At 39.3% G+C, this 26,349-nt stretch overlaps 1 protein-coding gene and 1 long non-coding RNA gene across 27 annotated transcripts in view; one reads left to right on the forward strand and one right to left on the reverse strand.

Moving 5' to 3' along the window:
- Positions 1-26,349, reverse strand: part of NARS2 (asparaginyl-tRNA synthetase 2, mitochondrial) — a 138,897-nt gene that overhangs the window by 97,093 nt on the left and 15,455 nt on the right. The window contains exon 6 of one of the 26 annotated variants that reach the window (NM_001425312.1): positions 24,120-24,191. The exons of the other annotated variants lie outside the window; for them this stretch is intronic. The gene's annotated coding sequence lies outside the window, so the exon portion shown is untranslated. The remainder of the gene's footprint in view (positions 1-24,119; positions 24,192-26,349) is intronic. 26 annotated transcript variants of the gene reach the window in all.
- On the forward strand, positions 116-25,505 carry NARS2-AS1 (NARS2 antisense RNA 1). Its single transcript, NR_120566.1, has 4 exons — positions 116-243; positions 13,449-13,580; positions 22,155-22,309; positions 25,204-25,505. It is a non-coding gene; the product is annotated as an NARS2 antisense RNA 1 (long non-coding RNA).

Here is a 26,349-nt window from a genome sequence, read left to right on the forward strand (position 1 = left end):
GGGTGACATTTTGGTGAACCAGATGGGACCCAAATTAGGCCTTCATTGACTCCTGCTGTTTTGCCAACAGCTGGAGCCCCAGCACCAGCATGGACCGTTGCATCCAACTGACCTCGCTGAAGACTGCAGAAGCCCTTGGTCAGACTACTCTCAAGGTTGAATCTCCCTGGCTTGACTGAGATTCAGACTTTATGGAACCTGATTCAACAACTGATGAGACTGGAATTGAAGCACTACTTTAAGGTAGGCGTTTAGTTTGTTATTCTCTTATTCCATTATTTGTGTATATTTGTGATTTTTTCACTTTTCTCTGAGATTAAAAAGTCTTGCTTGTCTTATTCACTACAGTTTGTAACCTTTTCTCTCATTTGAAATTTTATCATGGAGAAAGCAGTTTCTCTTTGAAAAGAGGAAGTGAATGTCTACAGCTTAGGCAAATTTTCTTAAACTGGCCAGATCTAAAGCTCCATTCAATTTGGCACATTTAAAATTTCCTTTTGAGTGACCAAAGTTTATAAAAGACTTTATGAGCACAAGAAAAGTCCCAAAGACAAGGGGAACTGTACCTCCTGGCTGAAAGGCACCTTAGGCAACCAAGGAGTCTCCCAGGAGTGTCAGAGCATATCACTCATAACATGTAACAGTCCCACAGGATTTGGACAAATACATACTGACATGTATCCACCACTACAGTATCATACAGAATAGTTTCACTGCCCTAAAAATATGTGCTCCACCTAGTTATCCCTCCCTTTCCCCTAACCCCTGGAAACCATGATCTTTTTACTTTCTCCATAGTTTTGTCTTTTCCAGAATGTCACACAGTTTAAATCATACAATATGTAGCCTTTTCAGATTGGTCTCTTTGACTTAGTAATTTGCATTTAAAGTTTCTCCAGGTATTTTCATAGCTTGATAGCTCATTTTTTTTCAGTGCTGAATAATATTTTACTGTCTGGATGTAACAGATACAGTTTATTTCTCCATTTACCTAATAAAAGGCATCTTGGTTGCTTCCAAGTTTTGGCAATTATGAATAAAGCTGCTTTGTAAACATCCATGTGCACGTTTTTGTGTGGATATAAGTTTTCCACTCCTTTGGGTAAATACCAAGGAGCAGAACTGCTGGTTCTTATGGTTGGAGTATATCTAGTTTTGCAAGAAACTGCCAAACTATACTGCAAAGTGGCTGTTAAATCTGCTGCTCCACATCCTTGTCAGCATTTGGTGTTGTCAGTGTTATGGATGTTGGCCGCTCAATAGGTACATAGTGGTACTGACTGGCTTTTTAGTGTGCTTTGTGCATCATTTTCTACGGATCACATGGTTCATACACTACTACCTTCAGCCATTACACTGAGTAGCAGTTATTTTTTTTAGGAATCTATGAGCCAGAATTTCTTGGAATGTTGGTACACCTAAAAAGTAAGAAACATGGGGAATGTTCTGTAAGTTCCTTTAGGCTGCTGACTGACTGATAATGAGTGAATAAATCAGAACTTTGTCAGTGTAACCTCCTCCAGATACATTCACAAATTCTCAAACCTCTTAAGATCAAAGATTCATACTAAATACCTTTTGTTTCACAGTGTTATCTCATCAAATTAAGAAATATTGGGGCTCCTAAGGGACACGGTCTCTCTTATTACTGGATCCTGCATCTAGCCTATTACCTGGGAATAGCAGTTACTCAGTAAATATTTCTTCAATTGAAAAACGAATTGAAGTAGGACCTGGAAATATGGGAGATACCTAAATCTGAGCGAGGACACAAATTTCTCAATGGAAAGAGCATGGAAAAAAACCTCCATTTGTGTTAATCCTTGGGAATTAAGGAATAATGTAATCCAAGGAATACAGCAATAAAAGAAATGTTTGAATAACCAAACGTTAAAACATAGTATAAAGCCTCTAAATTAATACAGTATATTAGTGGTACACAAGTAAACCTGTGGGATATAACTGAAAGCCTAAACACAGACTTTCACATATAAAAGTATTATATCAAATCAGTGAGGCAAAGCTGAACTTTTTAATAAGTAGAACCAGTTAACTGGGTAGCCATATAACTGTATCAACCAGAAATAAACTGCAGAATTTTTTTGTACATTGTGGCAGATAGTGTGATGTGAATATATGGGTGTTTTCCCCCGCCAAGGAATCTCTGCATAGTAATGCTGTGGTAATTTCTGTTGTTTCCAGCACCTAAGTCGTCACTTCCGATTCTTGAAACAATGGTACATAAATTCATCTACTTTGATCCCATCTTCAATATATTTCTTTCAAATCCTTGAGAGAAATGGTACAATATAAAAGAATATAAAAAACATTTTTTAAAGTACTGCACATTGAGATAAAATCTCAAAATCAGAATTCTTATTCATTATAAAAAATATTTCTGAACATAAACCAGCAAAAATACTTTATCTCATTGTCTCACACTTCTTATTTATTTTTGTCATTATTGTGTTTTGATATTGCAACAAAGATTTTAATTTTTCCTTTATTTTTAATTATTTTGTTTGCTTTTAAGATACAGCAGAAATATAACATTCAGAGATCCAGAAAGCTCTTTTTTTTTTTTGTGAGACAGAGTTTCACTCTTATTGCCGAGGCTGGAGTGCAATGGCACGATCTCAGCTCACCACAACCTCTGCCCCGCCAGGTTCAAGTGAGCCTCCCAAGTAGCTGGGATTACAGGCATGCACCACCACGCCTTGCTAATTTTGTATTTTTAGTAGAGACGGGGTTTCTCCATGTTGGTCAGGCTGGTCTCAAACTCCTGACCTCAGGTGATCCACCCACCTCAGCCTCTCAAAGTGCTGGGATTACAGGTGTGAGCCACCGAGCCCAGCAAGTTCATTTTTAACTTGGTTATTTTGCATCTCAGAACTCATTTTCCCTTAAAGAAATACATACAATAACTATATTCACAGAGCAGCCACAGTACTCTATATGATGAATAATACAGATAAAATATAGTCATGTACTACATACTGACATTTTGTTCAACAATGGACTGTAGATATGACGCATCCATAAGATTATAATAGAGCTGAAAAATTCCTATTTCCTAGTGATGTCACAGAGCATGGCATTACTCACGTATTTGTGGTGATGCTGTTGTAAACAAACCTACTGCACTTCCAGTCATATAATGATAATAAACAACTATGTTACTGATTTACATATTTATTATACTATACTTTTTATCATTACTTTAGAGTGTACTCCTACTTATTAAAAAAAGAAGTTAACTGTAAAACAAGCTCAGGCAAGTCTTTCAGGAGGTATTCTAGAAGAAGGCATTGCCATCATAGGAGATGACAGCTCCATGTGTGTTACTGCCCCTGAAGACCTTTCAGTAGGACAAGATACAGAGGTGGAAGACAGCGATTCCACCTCTGTATTAATGATGCTGCCCCCGTATAGGCCTAGGCTAATGTATTTTTGTGTCTTAGTTTTTAACAAAAATGTATAAACAGTAAAAAAGAAATCTCTAATAGAAAAAAGCTTATAGAATAATGAAAGAAAATATTTTTGTACTCATACAACGTGTTTTAAGTATTATGAAAGAGTAAAAATATTTTAAAAAATTAAGTTTATAAAGTAAAAAAGTTAGAGTACGCTAAGATAATCTAGTATTAATAATTAATCTATTACTGAAGACATTTTAAAAAATAAATTTAGTGTAGCTTAAGTACATAGGTTTGCAAAGTTTGCAGTAATGTCCTAGGCCTTCCTACTCACTTATAATTCACTTACTGACTCATCCAGAGCAGCTTCCAGTCTTGCAATGTCCATTCATGGTAAGTGCCCTATACAGGTGTACCATTAAAAGAAAAAAACCTTTTATACTGTATTTTTATCGTACAATTTCTATGTTATGTATGTTTAGATATACAAATACTTGCCATTTTATTACAGTTGCCTAGGGTATTCAGTACAGCAACATACTGAATAGGTTTGTACCTAAAGAACAAGAGACTAGACCATACAGCCTAGGTGTGTGGTAGGCTATACCATCTCGGTTTGCGTAAGTACACTCTATGATGGTTGCACAATGATGAAATCACCTAAGGGTGCATTTCTCAGAAAGTATCTCCATCGTTAAGCGACACATGACCATATATGGATGGAGAGATGCAGAGAGAGTGTGTGTGTGTGTTAAGTCACGATACAAAAAAATGTGCATGTGGATACAAATGAATGAATGAGTGCCTGGATTCATTTCTATCAATCTCGGCAAATGTGACCAAGAGGGAGATAAAGTCCTCAGACAGAGTACAGATAGTACCAGGAAGCTGAAGAGGTGGCTTGTATTCATGTAGGGTACAACTTGATCTTTACTCTAGCTTCTTTATTGCTAAGATGAGACTCAGAAACAGGATTTTAACAGTTTGAAAATGTGTCTAGAAGTTTCAGAATTAGATGATAAAACCAGTAATTTGAGGGGCCAGGTATAGTGGCTCACAACTATAATCCCAGCACTTTGGGAGGCCAAGGTGGGAGAACTGCTCGAGTCCAGCAGTTTGAGACCAGCCCTGGGCAACATAGTGAGAGGTCCATGTCTAAAAATGCAATTTAAAAATTAGCTGTGCATGGAGGCACGTGCCTGTAGTTCCAGCTACTGAGGAGGCTGAGGAAGGATTGCTTGAGCACAGAAGTTCAAGGCGGCAGCAAGCCGTGATTGCACCACTGCACTGCAGCCTTGGCAACAGAGCAAGATCTTGTCCCTAATACGTACGTACATACATACATACATGCAAACATACATACATGTTTGTCTGACTTAATTATCACATTATTCAAAACATTCCTTAAGTAGGCATAGTAGTCTCCCCTTATCCACAGTTTTACTTTTCATGGTTACAGTCGCCTATAGTCAACTGCAGTCTGGAAATATTAAATGGAAAATTCCAGAAATAAAGAATTCTTAAGTTTTAAACTGCACTGTGTTGAGTAGCATGATGAAATCTCAGGCTGTCCCACTCCATCCTGCCCTGGACATGAATCATTCCTTTGTCTGGGGTATCCATGCTCTATATGCTACCAATCTTATAGTCACTTAGCAGCAGTCTTGGCTACCTGGTCCACTGATGTCACACTGCCTACGTTGTTCACCTCACAGCAGTTTAGGACCACAGCACAATACATTCACCTCAAAAATCACTTATCCATGAGGCCTTCTTACTGCTAATAGCCCCCAACTCCATGCCTAGACTAGTAAAAATGACCCTTCTCTGCATTTCCGTGATAATCTGTATATACACCTCATTCATTCATCTAAGCACTGTGCTACATGAGAGAGAGCAATAAATAAGAGAACATAAGCTCTCAAAGAGCTTACATTCTAATGGGGAAAAAAGAAAATAACATGTAAACTAATAAAGAATCAAGATAATTACAAGCTGGGATAAATGAGTTGGGTACTGGGGTATGGGAAGGGCTCTTAAGCAGTAACAAGCAAGCAGAGACCTGAAAGATAAGAATGTATCTGCTATACTATAAACTGGGAAAAATACTCCAGGCACAAGGAACAGCCAGTAGAGAGATCAGTACGTGGGAAGGGGGTGTCATACCTTACGAGAGTGGAAGGCAGGTGACTGTAGCTTGAGGGACTCAAGAGTAAGACTGTTAAAAGATGAGGTTAGGCCGGGCGCGGTGGCTCACGCCTGTAATCCCAGCACTTTGGGAGGCCGAGGCGGGCGGATCACGAGGTCAGGAGATCGAGACCATCCTGGCTAACACGGTGAAACCCCGTCTCTACTAAAAATACAAAAAATTAGCCGGGCGTGGTGGCGGGCGCCTGTAGTCCCAGCTACTCGGGAGGCTGAGGCAGGAGAATGGCGTGAACCTGGGAGGCGGAGCTTGCAGTGAGCCGAGATCGCGCCACTGCACTCCAGCCTGGGCGACAGAGCGAGAATCCGTCTCAAAAAAAAAAAAAAAAAAAAAAAAAAAAAAAAGATGAGGTTAGACAGGTAGGCAGAAATCAGATTATGGGTCCTTTATAGATCATGATAAGGAGTTTGAATTTTATTCTAAGATCACAGAGCAGCCACTGAAATGTAAGCATGGGGTTGTGGCATGATGAGTTAAAAAATTCTTCTAGTGTCTTAGCGGAGAACAGATAATAAAGGGATAAGAGTAGAAGTAGGGGCACCAATCAGAAGACAAGAAGAGTAGCTTGAATTAAACTGGTAACATTGGAAACAGAGAAATGGAGAGGTTGAGGATTTATGTTAAAGATGAGCCAACAAAGGACGGATAAATTAGATGTGAGGTTTGGGGAGACAGGCAGGGGAGGTATGAATTAAGTCTGACATCTAGATTTTTTACTTAAGCAAATGAGTAGATGGTAACTTTCACTGAGATAAAAAAAGAAGAGGAAAAGGCTTTGGAGGAAAAAATCAAGAGGTTTATTTAATACATACTATGTTTGAATGCATATTAGACATCAAAGGAGAAATGTCAAGTAGGCAGATGCTTCTACAAATCTGGAGCTCAGAAACAGAACCTGGAGATAAACAGTTTGGGACTGCAGATAAACAGTTTGGCAGTCAGTATGTAGATGGTATGGTACATAAAGCCTTGGAAGTGAATAAAATCGCCAGGGGAGAGATTACAGATTAGTGCTTCTCATTGATGATGATAGTGTTCCCTAGAAAATACTTCAGGAGTCTGTAGAGCATTTAGTGGGCAGGAGTCCAACATGTCCTGCAATATATACAAAGTCCTGCGTAACTAAGCCTTTTCCTGCAATCTCCCAAGTTCCCAATGCTCTGTTAAGGCATTCATATAGTCTATCAACAAAACCACGTGGATTTGAGCTATCTGATAAACAAAGTCATTCCTTTTATCTATCTTCTATAGAGGGTCTTGGTATAAGATTTTGTTTGGAAAACACTTTTGAACAAAAATGTTTGAAAATCAATATAAAGGATGATTACCTCCCATCCTAAACAGTCCATGATAGACTAACCTTTCCCTGATCATATAAAACTTACGTTAGTGCAATAAAACTTAACCTAGCCTTTCTCTATTATGCAAAACAAAAATTTTTGCTAGGTTATTCTGCCACTGGAAGACAGTAAATAGCACAGCCAAGAAAGGGGAAACCAAGAGCTACCAAAAAAATTTTTTTAATGTGTGTATCCCAGTGAATTTCTTACCACACGGATCTAAAATCCTCCCTGTTTCTTTGAGGATTTCCAAGAAAATATTAAACAAGTATTTTGAATTGCCCTCCAGTTATTTGTTCTCACAGCAGAACAAATTTAGCTGAGCAGTTTCACAATCTCAGGAGAATTAAATAGAAAAACCCACACAAGTCCGACTCTGTCTCCATGTAAAATATATAGCAAGGAGCGAGAGTAAATAGCAGTAAGCTGAACAGTGGAAAGGAATATAATCAACAATGGAAAACTTATTTGACCTCTACAATCACTGAAACACCCAATCTATTTTTATCTCCTTTTACTTTTTCCATTTTCTACTTTGTACCCTACCCCCACCTTTTACCCAGTTCTATTTACTCATAATCCCAGAGACAAAAAGTTGGGAAGAGAATACATAAAGATGAAGCATGGTTCAGAAATTTAAAAGGTTTAAAATCATAATGGCATGCTATTGTCCTGTTTACCTCAATCTGCAATTTCCTTTGAAGATCATGAAGAAAAGGGAGAGTACTCACCATCTGTAAGCTCCATATAACCACTGAATATCCTATTTTCTTTCTTGATCCCAATTAAGAGATTAGAGGGAGGCTATGCCTTTCACGATACAGATAGTAAAGAATAAAAAAATCTAAGTTAGATAAAACTTTAATTTTTTCACGCCTGTAATCCCAGCACTTTGGGAGGCCAAGGTAGGCGCATCACCTGAGGTCAGGAGTTCGAGACCAGCCTGGTCAACATGGTGAAACCCCATCTCTACTAAAAATACAAAAATTAGCCAGGCGTGGTGGCGCACGCCTGTATTCCCAGCTACTTGGGAGGCTCAGTCATGAGAATTGCTTGACTCTGGGAGGCAGAGGTTGTTGTGAGCTGAAACTAGTACTATTGTACTCCAGCCTGAGTGACAACAGTGAAACTCCATCTCAAAAAAAAAAATTTTAATTCAACTTCCCTCTTGTAAAAGATGCTAAAGCTTAAAAATGTTAAATGTCAAATGTTAGAATAAATGTTATATACAACTACTTTTTGGTAAGATCAGTTGTAGAATCCAGGTTTCTCAGCTTCTAGTACAATCACCTTTCCAATAAGTCATGTCACTTTTTTTTTTTTTTTGAGATAAGGTCTTGCTATGTCGCCCAGGCTGGTCTTGAACTCCTGGGCTCAAGTGATCCTCTCACCTCTGCCTTCCGATGGGACTACAGGCATATACCACTGTGCCCAGCTCTCGCATTTTTTATCCTGTAGTGTTGAAATAAAGCTTTGGATTAAAATGCTTTTAATATTAGTCTCTCCTAAGTATGAAATGCTGATCATATAACATAAAACAAGCCAGGTGTAGTGGAGGGTGCCTGTAATTCCAGCTACTCGGGAGGCTGAGGCAGGAGGATCACTTGAGTCCAGGAGTTTGAGGTCAATGAGTTATGATCATACCACTGCACTCCAGCCTAGGTGAGAGAGTAAGACTCTGCCTCTAAAATCAATCAACCAACCAAGCAATCAATCATAGGAACTAAATCTGTCATACAGTCTCCAAAGATTTGTGGGTTGGTAGTTTCATGATCCCTATCAAGCTGTATCTCAAATGCAGTTGCTATCATTGCTGCAGAAATTGTTCTGCATGCCATTAGACTGCATCTCATACGTAAAAACCAAAGCCAAGGGAAACAGGCTCAATAAACTGCATTCTATTTTGCCGGTTATGTTAGTTTTGGGATTTGCCTATTAACAAGCCATATATGTAGGTCTTTCACTAATCTAAAAATTTCCAATAAGTCCAGTTTATGTTTCCATACTTTCCACTTGCTACAAATGTGTATCTTGGTGTACACAGAACTGCTAGTATAAAAATAATCTTTCTTAAAATAAGGGTTCATTTACATTCCAGAACACCCACTAACTAGAACACCCACTCAGCCCTGAGAAAGGTTTCATTTAAACAACTATTTGATCAGCAGGAAAGGAAGTTATTAAGTCAGACTGTTTGTAAACAGTGTTTTCCTGCTGAGCAGTCTGAGAAAGAATGAATCAAGAAAAGACGCGTGGAGTCTAATATTAGAGGGTAAGGTTGAGGCAAAACAGAAAGTGAATATACAATGCTGCCTTATTTTTCTTTTACAGGAGATAAACACAAATGTAAAATTGCAAAACAGCAAACTTATTCCTAAATGTAAAGGGGTCGGTGAAAAATGAACCAAACTTTTTTTCACTATTGCTTGAAAAATATTAATTTTGGCTTATTCATTGTCAGATTGGGGCTTTAAGGATGAATATGATAAGATATGGTCCTAGTCCGTTAACTAGGACTTCTGTGAGAAGGGATACCTATGCTCCAGAGTTAAGTCTCCAAACCACGTATCCACACAAAGGACTTGACTACCACTAAACACAGCAGGTACTCAATAAATACTTATAAATCCCAGCACTTCGGTGGGGTGGAGGCAGGAGGATTGCTTGAGACCAGGAGTTCAAGACCAGCCTGAGCAACATAGTGAGACCCTGACTCTACTTTAAAAATTAGCTGGGTGTGGTGGTGCGCACCTGTAGTTTTAGTAACTCTAGAGGCTGGAGTGGGTGGATCACTTGAGCTCAGGAGGTCAAGGCTGCAGACAGCCATGATCGCTGGCTCATCACTGCACTCCCAACAGGGCGACAGAGCGAGACCTTGGGTCAAAACAAACCCCCCCACAAAATATACTTTCTTGCAGTTGCTGCAAGGAGGAAGTTAAGTTATTGATAACTGGAACAGAAGGGCTTGGTTGCCCTTTACCTCTGGCTGTGGTAATCAAGAGTAAGTTAGCCAAGTACGGTGGTGGGTGCCTGTAATCCCAGCCACTAGGGAGGCTGAGGCACAAGAACTGCTTGAACCCAGGAGGCAGAGGTTGCAGTGGGCTGAGATGGTGCCACTGCACTCTAGCCTGGGCAACAGAGCAAAACTACGTGTCAAAAAAAAAGAATAAGCCATTATAAAGCATACTCATATAAAAGTCACGATTTTGATGCTATCCAAAGATTATCCAAAAGGGATTCACATCATTTTTTGAGATCAAAGTGTCTCTTGAAGTCAACAATGCCATGGAATGCTTCCTTCAAAGATGGCATGCATAAAATAAATGTCTAATTTCCAACAAAAACCAATTTCCCCTAATAATTAGATGGTATTGGCCCTAAAGAGTATAAACTCAAAAAACTTTCCAGTGTTTATGAAGCTGACATTTTCTTTTCATTTATGATTACTTGAATTCTAATGTCCAGACTAGCAACATGAAAGTTCATGTTTTTTAAAAAGAAGAAACGCTACTTTTCTACTTTTAATTAGCAATGGAAATAACCATTTGTAGGAAAAAAAATAATTCTCTCTATATTAAAAGTTCAAAAGTCTAGCAGAGGTGAACTATTCAACATAATCACTTCTGGGAAAATACACAGCAGGAATAGATACAACAAAAACAAAAAACATGTACCCTGGTACCAAGATCCAAGATGCATAAGCTACTTTCTAAATATATCCAGAATCCGGCCAGGCAGAGAGGCTCATGGCTGTAATCCTAGCACTTTGGGAGGCCAAGGCGGGCAGACCACGAGGTCAAGAGATTGAGACCATCCTGGCCGACATGGTGAAAACCCGTCTCTACTAAAACTACAAAAATTAGCTGGGCGTGGTGGCGCGCACCTGTAGTCCCAGCTACTCGGGAGGCTGAGGCAGGAGAATCGCTTGAACCCGGGAGGTGGAGCCAAGATTGTGCCACTGCACTCTAGCCTGGCAACAGAGTAAGACTCTGTCTCAAAAAAAAAAAAAAAAAAAAAACTCTCTCTCACTCTCCAGAATCCAACCACATTTGAGGATGTACAATTTCAACTCCTGTGTAAATCACTATCTGTCCACCTAAAATACAGCATTAGACTTTTAACTGGTTTCTCTTCTTCTGTACCTCTCCCTGATTTAATCTCCATATAGCAGCCAGAATGATCTCATTAAAATATAAGTGATTTATTACTCCTTTGCTTATAACTCTCCAAAGACTCACAGCCAATATTCTTATAATGGCCTAAAAAGTCCTTTTTAGAGGGAATGTTTCTGGTTGTCATAACTGGGGAGAGCTACTGAAATTTAGTGGGTACTACCCCAAGTTTCAAATATGCAATGGAACATTCATGTTAGTGAATTAGGTAAATTGTATTATTTTAATATGCTCTGAATTTTCCAGAATGCATCTTCCATGTAAATCAAGGGAAAGCTAATACTTTCATGCGGAACTCTTATCAAGAATGAGTTACCGGCTGAGCGCAGTAGCTCATGCCTGTAATCCCAGCACTTGGGAGACTGAGGCAGGCAGATCACTTGAGGTCAGGAGATCGAGACCATCCTGGCTAACACGGTGAAACCCCGTCTCTACTAAAAATACAAAAAATTAGCCAGGCGCGGTGGTGGGTGCCTGTAGTCCCAGCTACTCGGGAGGCTGAGGCAGGAGAACGGCGTGAACCTGGGAGACGGAGTTTGCAGTAAGCCAAGATCGTGCCACTGCACTCCAGCCTGGGCGATAGAGCGAGACTCCGTCTCACAAAAAAAAAAAAAAAAAAAAAAAGGATACAGAAAATTAGCTGCGCGTGGTGGTGGGCACCTGTAATCCCAGCTACTCAGGAGGCTGAGGCAGAAGAATTGCTTGAACACGGGAGGCAGAGGTTGCAGTGAGGTGAGATCGCGCCACTGCACTCCAGTATTCTCATCACAAATAGCAAACTGTTCATGATATGTGAGTCACCAATATAACACACCTGTTTAAGTCCTAATTTATAGTGGTCAAAGTCAGCAGTTCTTTATATCTCTATATAAAGGCTACTTACATTCTTCTAGACCACAGTATTTACATAATAAAATACACTGATTATATTACTTTTCTTTCTTTTTTATATTAAGTTGGAAGCACTATATTTTTCCAATTAAGTGTATAAAAAGTTTATATCATCTACATTTCATTATACATATTATCTATATTTGGGAAAGAAAAGGAGTTATGAAAATTCTTTTTTACAAAAGTGTTACACCTCATAAAGATGAACATCACTCACATATATAATTTGCACCTACTCCCAACCTCTATGCCTAACCTCAGTTCCCACTAATCTTCCTCTCTTTCCTATGCTCGATCCATACCTGCCTTCATGATTGTTTCTTGAAAACCTGAGGCTGCTCCAGCCACAGAATCTTTGTACTTGCTGTTCCTTCTGACTGAAATGTTCTTTCCCAGGTATCAACATTACTTACTCCCATATGTCCGTCATGCTTTTTCCTTTTTTTTTTTTTTTTTTGAGACAGAGTCTTGCTCTGTCACCCAGACTGTAGTGCAGTGGTGTGATCTCGGCTCACTGCAACCTCCACCTCCTGGATTTAAGCAATTCTTGTGCCTCAGCCTCCCAAATAGCTGGGATTGCAGTTGTGCATGCCACTGTGGCCAGCTAATTTTTGTATTTTTAGTAGAGATGGGAGATGGGGTTCTGTCGTATTGGCCAGGCTGGTCTCGAACTCCTGGCCTCAAGTGATATATACGCCTGCCTTGGCCTACCAACGTGCTGGGATTACAGGTGTGAACCACCGCACCTGGTCCACTCATGCTTTTTGAACATCTTTTCAGTAAAGCTTTCCTTGACCATCCAATTTAAACTAGAATCTCTCTCTCCCTAACCTTTTTCCCAATTTATTTTTCTTCGCAATACAAATCACCATCTGTTCTGATTACCTATTGGTGAGCAACAAATCATTCTAAAATTTAGCGGCTTAAAATGATAATCTACTGCTATCTTTCACAAGTCTATGGGTTGCCTGGCTTCAACTGAGTGGTTCTTGTATGGAGTCTCTCACATGGTTTCAGTCAAATGGCTGCCGGCACTGGAGTCATGTGAAGGCTAGATTCAGCTAGATATCCAAGATGACCTCCTTAATCACAAGTCTGGTGCCTTAGCTGGGATGGCTGAAACAGCTGAAGTGTAGCCAGGTATCTCTGTCTTACCATGCAGCCTTCCCACACAAATAGTTTGAGGTCTCACAGTAGCACAGTACCTCTTACACAGATGCTGGCTTCCCCCGGAGCCATTCCAAAAAAACAAAGGCAAGGATATTTCATTTCCACCATGTCCTACTGATTACACAGAACCAGCCCACTCTTTAACTGTGGGTGAGGACAACAGAAAGATGTGGGACTGGGAAGCATAGTGCACTAGGCAGCTATCTTTGGACAGTTACCACAATACTTAACATATTCTCTATTTTACTTTTAGATTTATTGTCTCCTCTTCTACAAGGATATACATTCAACAAGGAAAGAGATTCTTTGTTCACCACTTTTCCTCCAGCACATGTCATGTAGTCAATTAATATTAATTGATAAAAGGAATAAATTATTGCATTAGGTAAGTGATATACATCAATAATTCACTATATCCCCTTGCTTCTCACTATAGGTCACTCTGCCCCAATCTTACCAATTTGCCTTTCTGAAAGGTACCTGGTATGAATCTGGATAATTTTGGAAGTAGAAAATGACAAAGTTGGAACAAAAATCAAAGACGGAACTATAAACAAGGATCATACACATTGCTTTGTCCTGTGGACATCTCTGATCACTCCTGTACCTAGTTTTTCCTTGTCAGAAATCTCTCCTAGAGCACTTATAAAAAGTGAAGCACTACTTGATGCAACAATTCTGTATATTCTGTATAATTACCCTTAAAAAAGGTAAAAGCCAATTAAACATTTAATTATTCTGCTACGATTTCACGTGTCAGCTTTATCTTCTGGATAAACACTATACATTTCGTGGCTGGGTATGGTGGCTCATGACTGTCATCTCAGCACTTTGGGAGGCCATGGGGGGAGGACTGCTTGAGCCCAGGAATTAGAGAACAGCCTGGACAACATAGCAAGACCCTGTATCCATAAAAAATTTAAAAATTAGCCAGGTGTGGTGGTGCACACCCATAGTACTAGCTACCAGCTACCTGGGAGGCTAAAGTGGGAGGATCACTTGAGGTAAAAGAAGAAAAAAAAAGAACTCAGAAACTGTTCATTTCTTGAGAACCAGCTCATTTTAATTTAAAGAACAAATTTTAATTCAAAATTCTCAACACAGGACCCAATACTAACTTGTGCATACTATCATGTAACAGGAAAAAAAAATAGCCAATGAATTCTCCATCAGTAAAAGAATAGGTTAAATACATTGAAATACATATATTGATACACTGAAACAGCACATACTTTTAAAAGAATGAGGCAGAAGCAGTAAGAGGTACTGATACGTGAACAAAATGAACAAAGCAGGTATAAGCCAGGCATGGTGGCTCACGCCTGTAATCCCAGCATTTTGGGAGGCCACGGCAGGCGGATCACCTGAGGTCAGGAGTTTGAGATCAGCCAAAATGGCAAAACTCTGACTCTACTAAAAACACAAAAATTAGCTGGGTGTGGTAGCTAATAATCATGAACATCATTATGTTATTTATGAACGTATGACTAGACTAGTCTTAAGGCTGAAAGTTCTACAAAACTAAAATTGCCGTTAGAAAATAATAATAAGTATTTAAGTGTTCCAGGTAGTGTGGAGGACACAGGTCTTCCCTAAAAGGAACTTACCATCTACACAGGGAACCAAAACTGGTAAGTAAGAAATCATTGATGAACAACTGAATGTTAAAACAGGCTATAGTAGGCCAGGCACGGTGGTTCACGCCTGTAATTCCAGCATTTTGGCAGGCTGAGATTGGAGGATCGCTTGAGTCCAAGAGTTTGAGACCAGCCTAGGCAACATAATGACCTTGTCTCTACTAAAAATTAAATTAGCCAGGTGTGGTGGTGTGTGCCTGCAGTCCCAGCTACACAGGAGGCTGAGGTGGGAGGACTGCTTGAGCCCAGGAGTTGGACGTTGCACTGAGCGATGACAGTGCAAGTGCATGCACTCCAGCCTGGGTGACAGCAAAACTGTGACTCAAAAACAAAAAATAAAACCAGCTATAGCAACTGAATACAAGTTTAACAGGAGTTGGAACAAGGGAGGTATTAATATTAGCTAGAAAAAAGTTGTTTTGAGAAGAGGTTTGACCTGGGTTAGCCCACATACCATCTAAAAACGTTTAAAAGAAAATAGGTAAGAGTAATCAAAAAGTGAAACCATCTAGCACAACCAAAATGATGTGTGCCATAAACAACTTAGTCATAAAAATGTATAAGCACCAGAATTTCTGAGGTCTAGTAACTTTGTGTTACCATTTCTAGAATGCACAACAGTTTAGAGAAGAGAAATGCTAGTGCTTACATCAGCCTGCTTCTGCACACTGTTTTACCTATTTTGGATTAGCAATATGAAGTTTTCATATATGTCATTTCACTAATCCTTACAACCGATAAGAATAGTGTTCTTCACATTTTACAAGAGAGGAAATTGAGGATCGTGGTGGTAAAAAGTAGCCAAGAGGTGGCTAACCTGTTTTTCCTCCTCCCTTCTGACATGACAGTGTGGGGAGCTCCTCAGACCCATTCCTCAGTGAAATGCGTAAATGTTATTTAAAAAAAAATTTTTTTTTAATCCAACCATTTAAAGTCTCTAGAAATCGTCTTAAGGGTATACAGCAAATGAAGAAACATCTATTCAAAAAAATCTACTAAAGCTCGGTGAGGACAAGGAGAGTCTGTAATGTCTGAAACAGAGCCCTCTTCCTCCTTTCCCCTCACAGCTTGGCAAGACAGAAACTCTACCCCCCAATTAGAGCCAAGATCACAGGGCTCTAGCAAGAGGGGCAGCATGCAGGCATTTCTCCCCTTTCTCACAGCCACCTGTAGCTGAGGCTAAGTTCTGGGCAAGTGTGGCTGAGAGGTGGAGCCTCCCTTCCTCAGCCCCAGTCCCACTTGGGGGATGGAGGCTCCACCTTGGGCATGGTGCTGCTGAGAACACTAGGGTCCTGACAGCTTTTGCCCCAGATCCTGGGGTGGGGGTTCCATGCCAGGAGAGACAAGCCAAGAAACCTGGGCTGCTGCCTCTTGCTCCACTGAACACTCAGCTCCTAAATCAGGAGGTCTTGTAGTGAGAATGATCCATTGTCCCTTCCGCCAGCACTGGAGCCTGACTCCAACACTGACTGGGCAAAGAAGCAGGCCATAAAACAGAGCTCCAAATCTTTACCCAAAGGAACTGACTTCATTGCAACAAAGTATGTAAAAGTCCAAACTGAACGGTGCTCTCCAGAATAGTGGTGGTTGTGATGAAAGGCAGATTGAAAGAGTCACTGGTGATAAAGGCTAAACTGTAGATTTCCTAGTATGCTGGAAAGAAACAGAAACAGCTGGGAAGAGCCTTTTTGGGGTCAGAACAAACTCAAACGCTGCCCTTGAAAACTATGTCCACAAAGGAGTATAAATTTGATTGGATCAGTTTGTGAAACAATTTATGCCCCAGACTTTGAAAACAATAGCACAATCAGTCTGCAAGTAATGGAGCTTAAGAGGTGGGTGTGGTCAGGGGAAAAGACAGCCAAAGAAAGCTCTACCAAAACCAGTGCCATCCTTATTGTGGGCATACTCAAGGCTATTCCCCCTGAGTGGCAGCATCAGAGGCTTCACACTGGTAGGGGGTGGGAGGGAGGAGAGGGGCAAGACTTGTATCTAGAATATATAAAATACCTCCTACAGGCCCAACAACAAAAAGACAACCCAATTAAAGTCTTTTAAGGCAAAAGACTTAAATAGACATTTTTCCAAAGAAGAGAAATAAATGGTCAATATGTACATAAAAGACGTCCAACATCCTTAGTCATGTTAAATAAGGCATTGTTTTGGGCTAAGCTACTGCACTAGGCATAGTGCAGTAATGGAGTCACTCACACTAAAGTTCCATACCATCAAACTGAAACTGAGTTATCTGGCATTCCTAGAAATCAGGAGAGGGAGATGGCTGAATTTCTCAAGCAGGCCACTTTTAATCAGCATGATAACAAAGTTCCCTCGACCTTTAATCCTTCCAACAAAATGTAACCTGAAGTGACCTAATGTTAACCAATCAGTTACTTTCTATTGTTCTGTTTCACTGTTCCCACCTTGCGCCTTACAAGGAAAGTAACTTTAAAGTGACCAATACACTTCTTGTTCTTTGTTTATATTTCCTTCAGTCATTTTCTGTCTATAAAACCTCAGGTCAGCTCATCAGAATACATTCTATTTTACAGAATGAAGCGTTAGCCCATTCTAGAATTGTTAAATGAAGAAATTTAAATTTTAAAAAATTTGTTGTAATTTTGTCTTTTGATAGTCATTAGGAAAATGCAAATCAAAGCCACAATAATATGCCACTTTACACCCATTAGTATGATTATAATCAAAGAAACTGAAAATAACAAATGTAGGCTAGGATGCAGGGAAAGGAGAAGCCTCAAAATGCTGCGGCCACTCCGAAAAATAGCTTGGCAGTTTTTAAAAATGTTGAACTTAAGGTTTACAACATGACCCAGAAATTCTACCCAAGAGAAATTAAATCATAAATTCATCCACACAAAAACTTTTCAAAAATGTTCATAGCAGCATTTTTCATAGTGAAACAGGTTAAAGGTTATGTAGAAACAATACGAATGTCCATCAAGTGATAAATCAATAAACAAAACATGATACATCCACAAAAGGGACCAGCTTGATATAAAAAGGAATGAAGTACTGATACATACTACAATACTTTATAAGTGAAAGAAGCCAAACACAAAAGACCATACATTGTACGATTCCATTTATATGAAAAGTTTCAGAAGAGGCAAATCCACAGAAAGCAGATTTGTGGTTACCTAGAGCTAAGGGTGGGAATGGCAAGGGGCTGCTACTGGGTACAGTTTATTTTTGGGGTGATAAAAATGTCCTCAAATTAGACCGTGGTGATTGGCTGTACAACCCTGAGAACATACTGAAAACCATGCAACTTTATACAGTTGTGCATAGCCTGAGGCAGACACGTTCTGAGAAATGCATCACTAGGTAATTTCACTGTTGTGCGAACATCACGGAGTCTATTTACACAGACGGGGTATAGCCTACTACCCCCAGGCTACAAACCTGTATAACATGTTACTGATACTACTGAATACTTTGGCAATTGTAACACAATGGTAAGCGTGTGTGTATGTAAACATATCTAAATATGGAATTGGTACAGTAAAAATACAGTATTATAATCTTATGGGATCACCATGGTATATGTGATGTGTCACTGACTGCAATGTTGCTATGCGGCACATGACTACACTTTCATATTTTATGGTATGTGAGATATGTTCCAATAAAATAGTTTTTTAAAAACCCTGCTCCAGGCTGGGCGCGGTGGCTCATGCCTGTAATCCCAGCACTTTGGGAGGCCAAGGCGGACGGATCACCTGAGGTCAGGAGTTTGAGACCAGCCTGGTCAAGATGGTGAAATCCCGTCTCTACTAAAAATACAAAAATTAGCCGGGCGTGGTGGCAGGCGCCTGTAATCCCAGCTATTTGGGAGGCTGAGGCAGGAGAATTGCTTTAACCTGGGAGGTGGAGGTTGCAGTGAGCCAAGATTGCGCCATTGTACTCCAGCCTGGGGAACAAGAGCGAGACTTTGTCTCAAAAAAAAACAAAAAACAAACAAAAAAAACCCACCAAAAACAACCCTGCTCCATCTCATTCCTAAAGCTATCCAACTTTATTTCCTATGATTCACCAATACGAACCTTCTCATGTATCTCTCCACCCAGAGTCTAATAAAAACCCCTACATTCATTTTATATTTTAGGTTTGGGGATACATGTGAAGGTCTGTTACATAAACACGTGTCATGGGAGTTTGTTGTACATATTACATAACCCAGGTATTAAGCTCAGTACCCAACAGTTATCTTTTCCGCTCTTCTCCCTCCTCCCATCCTCCCCCCTCAGGAAGACACCAGTGTCTGTTGTTTCTTTCTTTGTGTTCATAAGTTCTTATCATTTAGCTCCCACTTACAAGTGAGAACATGCGGTATTTAGTTTTCTGTTCCTGCATTAGTTTGCTAAGGATGATAGCCTCCAGTTCCATCCACGTTCCCCCAAGACATGATCTCATTCCTTTTTATGGCTGCATAATATTCTACGGTGTATGTGTACCATATTTTCTTTATCCAGTCTGTCACTGATGGGCACTTAGGTTGACTCCGTATCTTTGCTATTGTGAACAGTGAGGCAATGAACATTCACGTGCATGTGTCTTTATGGTGTGAAAGGAAAATGCATCTTGGGCCCCAAAATCACTAAGCTAAAGGGAAAAGTCAAGCCGGGAACTGCTTGGGCAAACTTCCTCTCATTCTATTCAAAGTCATCCCTCTGCTCACTGAGATAAATGCATATTTGATTGCCTCCTTTGGTGAGGCTAATCAGAAACTCAGTAAGAATGCAACCACTAGTCTCTTATCTACCTATGACCTGGAAGCCCCCTCCCCACTTCGAGTTCTCCCATCTTTCTGGATCGAACCAATGTTCATCTTACGTATATGGATTGATGTCTCATGTCTCCCTAAAATGTATAAAACCAAGCTGCACTCGGACCACCTTGGGCACATGTCATCAGGGCCTCCTGAGGCTGTGTCACAGGCACGCATCCTCAACTTTGGGAAAATCAACTTCCTAAATTGACTGAGACTTGTCAATTTTGGAGTTCACAATATTTGGGCTTCACAATGATAAAATGCTTTATATTCCTCCGGGTATATACCCAGTAATGGGACTGCCAGGTCAAATGGTAGTTCTGCTTTTAGCTCTTTCAGAAATCACCATACTGCTTTCCACAATGGTTGAGCTAATTTATACTCCCTCCAACAGCATATAAGGGTTTCCCTTTTCTCTGTAACCTGGCCAGCACTGTTATTTTTTTATTTTTTAATTATCGCCACTGACTGGTGTGAGATGGTATCTCATTGTGGTTTTGATTTGCATTTCTCTAATGATCAGTGATATTGAGCTTTTTTTCATATGCTTGTTGGCCTCAAGCATGTCTTCTAACAAGTGTCTGTTCATGTCCTTTGCACCCCCCCTTTTTTTTTCTTTTTTGAGACAAAATCTCGCTCTGTTACCTAGGCTAGAGTGCAGTGGCATGATTTCAGCTCACTGCAACCTGCACCTCCCGGGTTCAAGCGATTCTTCTGCCTCAGCCTCCTGAGTAGCTGGGATTACAGGCATGTGCCACCATGCCCGGCTAATGTTTGTATTTTTAGTAGAGAAAGGGTTTCACCATGTTGGCCAGGCTGGTCTCGAACTCCTGACCTCAAGTGATCCATCCAACTCGGCCTCCCAAAGTGCTGGGATTATAGGCATGAACCACCATGCCTAGCCATTTGCCCACTTTTTAATGGGGTTGTTTTTCTCTTCTAAGTAAGTTCCTTATAGATCCTGGATATTAGACCTTTATCAGATGCATAATTTGCAAATATTTTCTTCCATTCTGTAGGCTGTTTATTCTGCTGACAGTTTCTTTTGCTATGCAGAAGCTCTTAAGTTTAATTAGATCCAATTTGTCAATTTTTGCTTTTGTTGTAATTGCTTTTGATGTCTGTCATGAAATCTCTGCCAGGATGGTATTGCCTAGGTTGTCTTCCAGGGTTTTTACAGTTTTGGGTTTTACATTTAAGCCTCTTTAATCCATCTTGAGTTGATTTTTGTACATGATGTAAGGAAGAGGTCCAGCTTCAATCGTCTGCATACGGCTAGCCAGTTGTCCCAGCACCATTTATTAAATAGGGAGTCTTTTCCTCATTGCTTGTTTTTGTCAGCTTTGGGGAGGATCAGATTGTCATAGATGTGCGGCCTTATTTCTGGACTCTTTATTTTGTTCCATTGGTCTATGTGCCTGTTTTTGTACCAGTACCACACTGTTTTGGGAGTGGAGCCTTGTAGTATAGTTGGGTAACATGATTCTTCCAGCTTTGTTCTTTTTGCTTAGGATTGCCTTGGCTATCTGGGCTCTTGGCTATCTGGGCTATCTTGGCTATCTGGGCTCTGTTCCATATAAATGTTAAAATAATTTTTTCTAGTTCTGTGAGGAATGTTGTTGATAGTTTGATATGAACAACATTGAATCTGTAATTTGCTTTGGGTAGTATAGCCATTTTAATGATATTGATTCTTCCTACCCATGAGCATGGGATATTTTTCCATTTGTTTGTATCTTCTCTGATTTCTTTGAGCAGTGTTTTATAATTCTCATGTAGAGCTCTTTCACCTCCCTGGTTAGCTGTATTCCTAGGCGTGTGTGCGTGTGTGTGTGTGTGTGTGTGTCAACTGTGAATGGGACTGACTTTCTGCTTTGGCTCTCAGTTTGGTTGTTGTTGGTGTATAGGAATGTTAGTGATTTTTGTATACTGATTTTGTATCCTGCAACTTTGCTCAAGTTATTTATCAGCTGAAGGAGCTTTTGGGCTGAGGCTATGGCATTCTCTAGATATAGAATCATGTTGTCTGCAAACAGACATAGTTTGACTTCCTCTCTTCCTATTTAGATGTCCTTTATTTATCTTGCCTGACTGCTGTGGCTAGGACTTCCAATACTATGTTGAAGAGAAGTGGTGAGGGCATCCTATAGTCTTCTGCTGGTTTCCAAGGGGAATGCTTCCAGCTTTTGCCCATTTGGTATAATGTTGGCTGTGGGTTTGTCATAGATGGCTCTTATTATTTACAGGTATGTTCCTTCAATATCTAGTTTATTGAGAGTTTTTAACATGAGATGTTGAATTATATCAAAAGCCTTTTCTGCATTAGTTCTATTTATGTGATGAATCACTGTGATTGATTTTTGTATGCTGAAGCAACCTTGCATCCCAGCAATGAAGCCTACTTCATGGTGGATTAAATTTCTGATGTGCTGCTGGATTCAGTTTGCAAGTATTTTGTTGAGGATTTCTGCATCAATGTTCATCAAGGTTACTAGCTTGATATTTTCTTTTTTTGTTGTGTCTCTCCCAGGTTTTGGTATCAAGATGATGCTGGCCTCACAGAATGAGTTGAGGAGAAGTTCCCCCTCCATAATTTTTTGGAAGTTACTGTTGGAATGGCACCAGCTCTTCATTGTACATCTGGTAGAACTCAGCTATGAATCCATCAGGTCCTGGGCTTTTTTGGTTGGTAGACTATTTATTATTTATTCAGTTTTAGAGTTTTGTTATTGGTCTGTTCAGAGAATCAATGTTTTCCTGGCTCAGTCTTCAGAGGGTGTATGTTTCCAGCAATTTAGAGGTGTTCGTAGTAGTTTCTGATGGTTGTTTACTACTCTGGAGTCAGTAGTAACATTCCCTTTGTCATTTCCAATTGTGTTTATTTGATCTTCTCTCTTCCTAATTAGTCTAGCTGGTGGCCTATCATCAATTTTTTCAAAAAACTAACTCCTGGATTTGCTGATATTTTGAATGTTTTTTTGTGTCTCAGCTTCCTTCAGTTCAGCTCTGATTTTTGTTATTTCTCATCTTTTGCTAGCTTTGGGGTTGATCTGTTCTTGCTTCTCTAATTATTTCCGTTGTGAAGTTAGGTTGTTAATCTGAGAACTTTCTAACTTTTTGATGTGGGCGTTTAGTGCTATGATTTTCCCTCTGAACACTGCCTTACTTGTGTCCCAGAGATTCTGGTACGTTGTATCTTTGTTCTCATTATTTTCAAAAAACTTTTTGATGTCTGTCTTAAATTCATTATTTACCCAAAGGTTATTCAGGAGCATGTTGTTTAGTTTCCCTGTAATCATATGATTTTGAATGCTTTTGTGTTGACTTCTATTTTATTGTGCTGTGGTCTGAGAGTGTGTTTGGTATGCTTTCAGTTCTTTTACATTTGTTGAAGATTGTTTTATATCCAATTATGTGGTTGGTTTTAGAGTAGGTGCCACGTGAAGACAAGAAGAATGTATATTGTCTATGCCTCATTTTAATTATCTGATTCTTCTTACATTATTGCTCTTACCTGGAATATTCTCCCTAAGGTACAGTCAGGTCACATATTCATTTTGAAGGTTTTTCTGACCAAGTCAGTACTCACTGACCTACCTCATTTTCCTCTAGATTCCATACCACTTATAACTGGTAACACTATATCCTCAAATGTATACATAAAGCAATTCCACCTTATTTCCCATCAACTTCTAGTTATACTGAAAACCATGGAACTGTATACAGTTGTGCATCGCCACCAAGCCAAAACTAAGATCTTCACGTTACCTTCTGAGAAGTCAGAAGAGGAGTAACAGCCACATCACCAAAGAGAACAATTTTAGCCAGCATAAGGAAGTCCCCTTTGCTTTAACCTTTACAAGAAAAATAACTTTGTAAAGATCAATTGCTTTTTGATTTTTGTTTCTGCTTTCCTCAGCCTTTTTCCATCTATAAAACTAGCCTCTTCTATTTTATAGAAGGAAGTGTTGCCTGATTCTTGAATGGCAAATGAAAGTCAATTAAGATCTTTAAACTAAATTTGTAGTAATTTTGTCTTTGACAGCCACAACCTACAATTCTTGCCTTAATCTCTTTTATCTCCTCAAAGACAAACTAATTCTTCCAAATTATAAAGACCAAACCTAATTTTGGGAACTCAGCCAGGGCCTTAGGACAAAGAGGAAAACGTGTACAAACAAGGAATTTTGTAGGATAAGTAACATCAACAGTGAATGAAAAGCATGCTCCTTCCCTTATCAACTCCTGCCAACTTACCGGCTTGACAGGATAGAACCTCAACTACATCTTTACAGCATAGCATCTTGAACACAGATGGCACCAAATGTCCGTTAATAACGAACAAATGCCTTGAAGGAAACTTCTTACAATGTATTCAGTAGTCCCCAAACCTTAACAAATATCAAAGTAGGAAATGGAGATGAGGGAAAGGAAGAGTAAAATGATAGAGCATGCATTCACTTCTCAACAGAATATTAGAAGTGCATGTTCTTACTGTGTTTTTTCAAGGTGACCTCTTAAAGCTGCCCTCTTATCTTTAAATGCAGTACTTAATGACACTTCATTTCTGTCAGAGAAAAAATGTGCACCATTACGAGAAGCAAGAATTTAAATATGAAAGCCCACCTCCTCCTAAAAGGGGTACCAAAATTCAAATTCTTATGCTTCTACAGGCAGCCAGGAGGAATTCAACACAATGAATCTTGGAAGTGAAGTATGTGAGGTGGGATAAGAAGGAGCTCTGCTTTCAAAGGATAGAGGGTTGGCAGGGACAGAAGACAAGTCTTTGTAGTCAAACTTCTGAAAGCAACAAAGACAGTAGGTCGACACAGCATAAAAGCCAGATAGCACAGATCAGCTGAAACCTGAGCTAGATCCTGACTGTAGGAGCCTAGGATCAATGAATTCAAGAGTTTCTCTTTCTGATATTCTGCATGGGCAAATTCAATCCCACAAATTCCTTTCCCTGGCTCTGAAATAATATGAACATAGTACACTTCTCATTTGTTTAGCTTCAGAAATACATTTTTTTCCTCTTCCTATTTATTCACACTTATCTGATAATTTGTCTTAGGTTATTTAGAGGTCAAGATATATATATAAAATATGTATATATATCATATATATCTTATATTATATATATATATCTCTCTTATATTTTATATATATACAATCACTCAGAGCTGCTTATGGGATTTCCCTGGTAGCAATGCAGTTATCTCCAAATGTATCTTTATTTATGCACATTAAAAACTTTTTTACTTGTTTCATTTGGGTCTCTTTAACAATTCCTTTTTATTTGTAAAGACTCCTTTAAATTATACCTTTTTTTCCCAGCCATTTATTGAATATTCAGTGGTTTAGACTAAGGGATTTAGAAATGTATTTACAGTAATTCTTGGCTTCACTATGCAGAAAATTAAAGTGCAAAGAGAAAATAAACACCTAGAAGAGAATGTTTTCCAGAATTTACATATGGTTATTTTGTCACCTGCTGCCTTCTTTGAACTCATATACACAGATGCTAATACCCCCACTCTAAATGTTCAACAAGGCATTTTTATTCTGCTTTTTTGCAGAATGCTGATCAACGTCAAGAATTCTTCCAGTCATGTATAATGAAGACGGCATTTGATTATCATTCTGAATGACTTCAACCTATCAGGACAACTTCTCCCAGAGACTACTTTGTTCAATAATATAAAGCACCACCACCATTATTAAGAGTCAAAAAGCACTGAACCGGAGAAAGCAGTTACATACAAATTTTGTCATTTGATAGAATCAACCAAATATATAAACAAGAATCCTGACATCTTAAAGATAAAGAAATCAGTAAACAAATAAAAGAAGTACCAAAGTACCACTCATGATCATACCATTCTCTCTGTCCATTATTATACAACCGGCTAATGATTTTAAATAGCTATCAAACTGGTAAATGCAAGGCTTTCGACTGCCTCCAATAAGAAAAACTGATAACTTAAAAAATATCTGCAGTAAGGGCAGGCTGACAATGCCTGGCATATACTAGGAACTCAAAAAATGATTGCTAGACAAATTTAAGAGCCTTCATGGGATGAACAAAATATAAATCAGTTCTTATGAAAAAATGTATTTTTTAAAGACTTTGAAAAAGAAAATGATATTCACATGTATACTCTTCTATTTTTATTTATATTTTAAAATATGACTTACGTCCACAAATATTAACTGTGGATTGAATCTGCGTAAGAGAGAGCTTAAAATCCTCATTTGCCTCTTCAAATCTCTCTAGTTCAGCAATTCACAGTAACTTAAGAAAAGTAAATAGAGTGCTAAATTAAAAATTCACTCTTGGCCAGGCATGGTGGCTCACACCTGTAATCCCAGCACTCTGGTAGGCCAAGGCAGGTGGATTACAAGGTCAAGAGATCGAAACCATCCTGGCTAACCAAGAGAAACCCCGTCTCTACTAAAAATACAAAAATTAGCTGGGCCTGGTGGCAGGCACCTGTAGTACCAGCTACTCGGGAGGCCGAGGCAGGAGAATCGCTTGAACCCTAGAGGCGGAGGTTGCAGTGAGTCGAGATCACACCACTGCACTCCAGCCTGGCCACAGAGTGAGACTCCATCTCAAAAAAAAAAAAAAAAAAAAAAAAAAATTCATTCTTACCTGTCACAGCATAAGACTGCTGGTACTACAGGAAATGAGACTGGTTTGAATTGTCTATGTAAGTTTTTCA

Source organism: Homo sapiens, chromosome 11, assembly GCF_000001405.40.
Source record: "Homo sapiens chromosome 11, GRCh38.p14 Primary Assembly".
Lineage (NCBI taxonomy): Eukaryota > Metazoa > Chordata > Mammalia > Primates > Hominidae > Homo > Homo sapiens.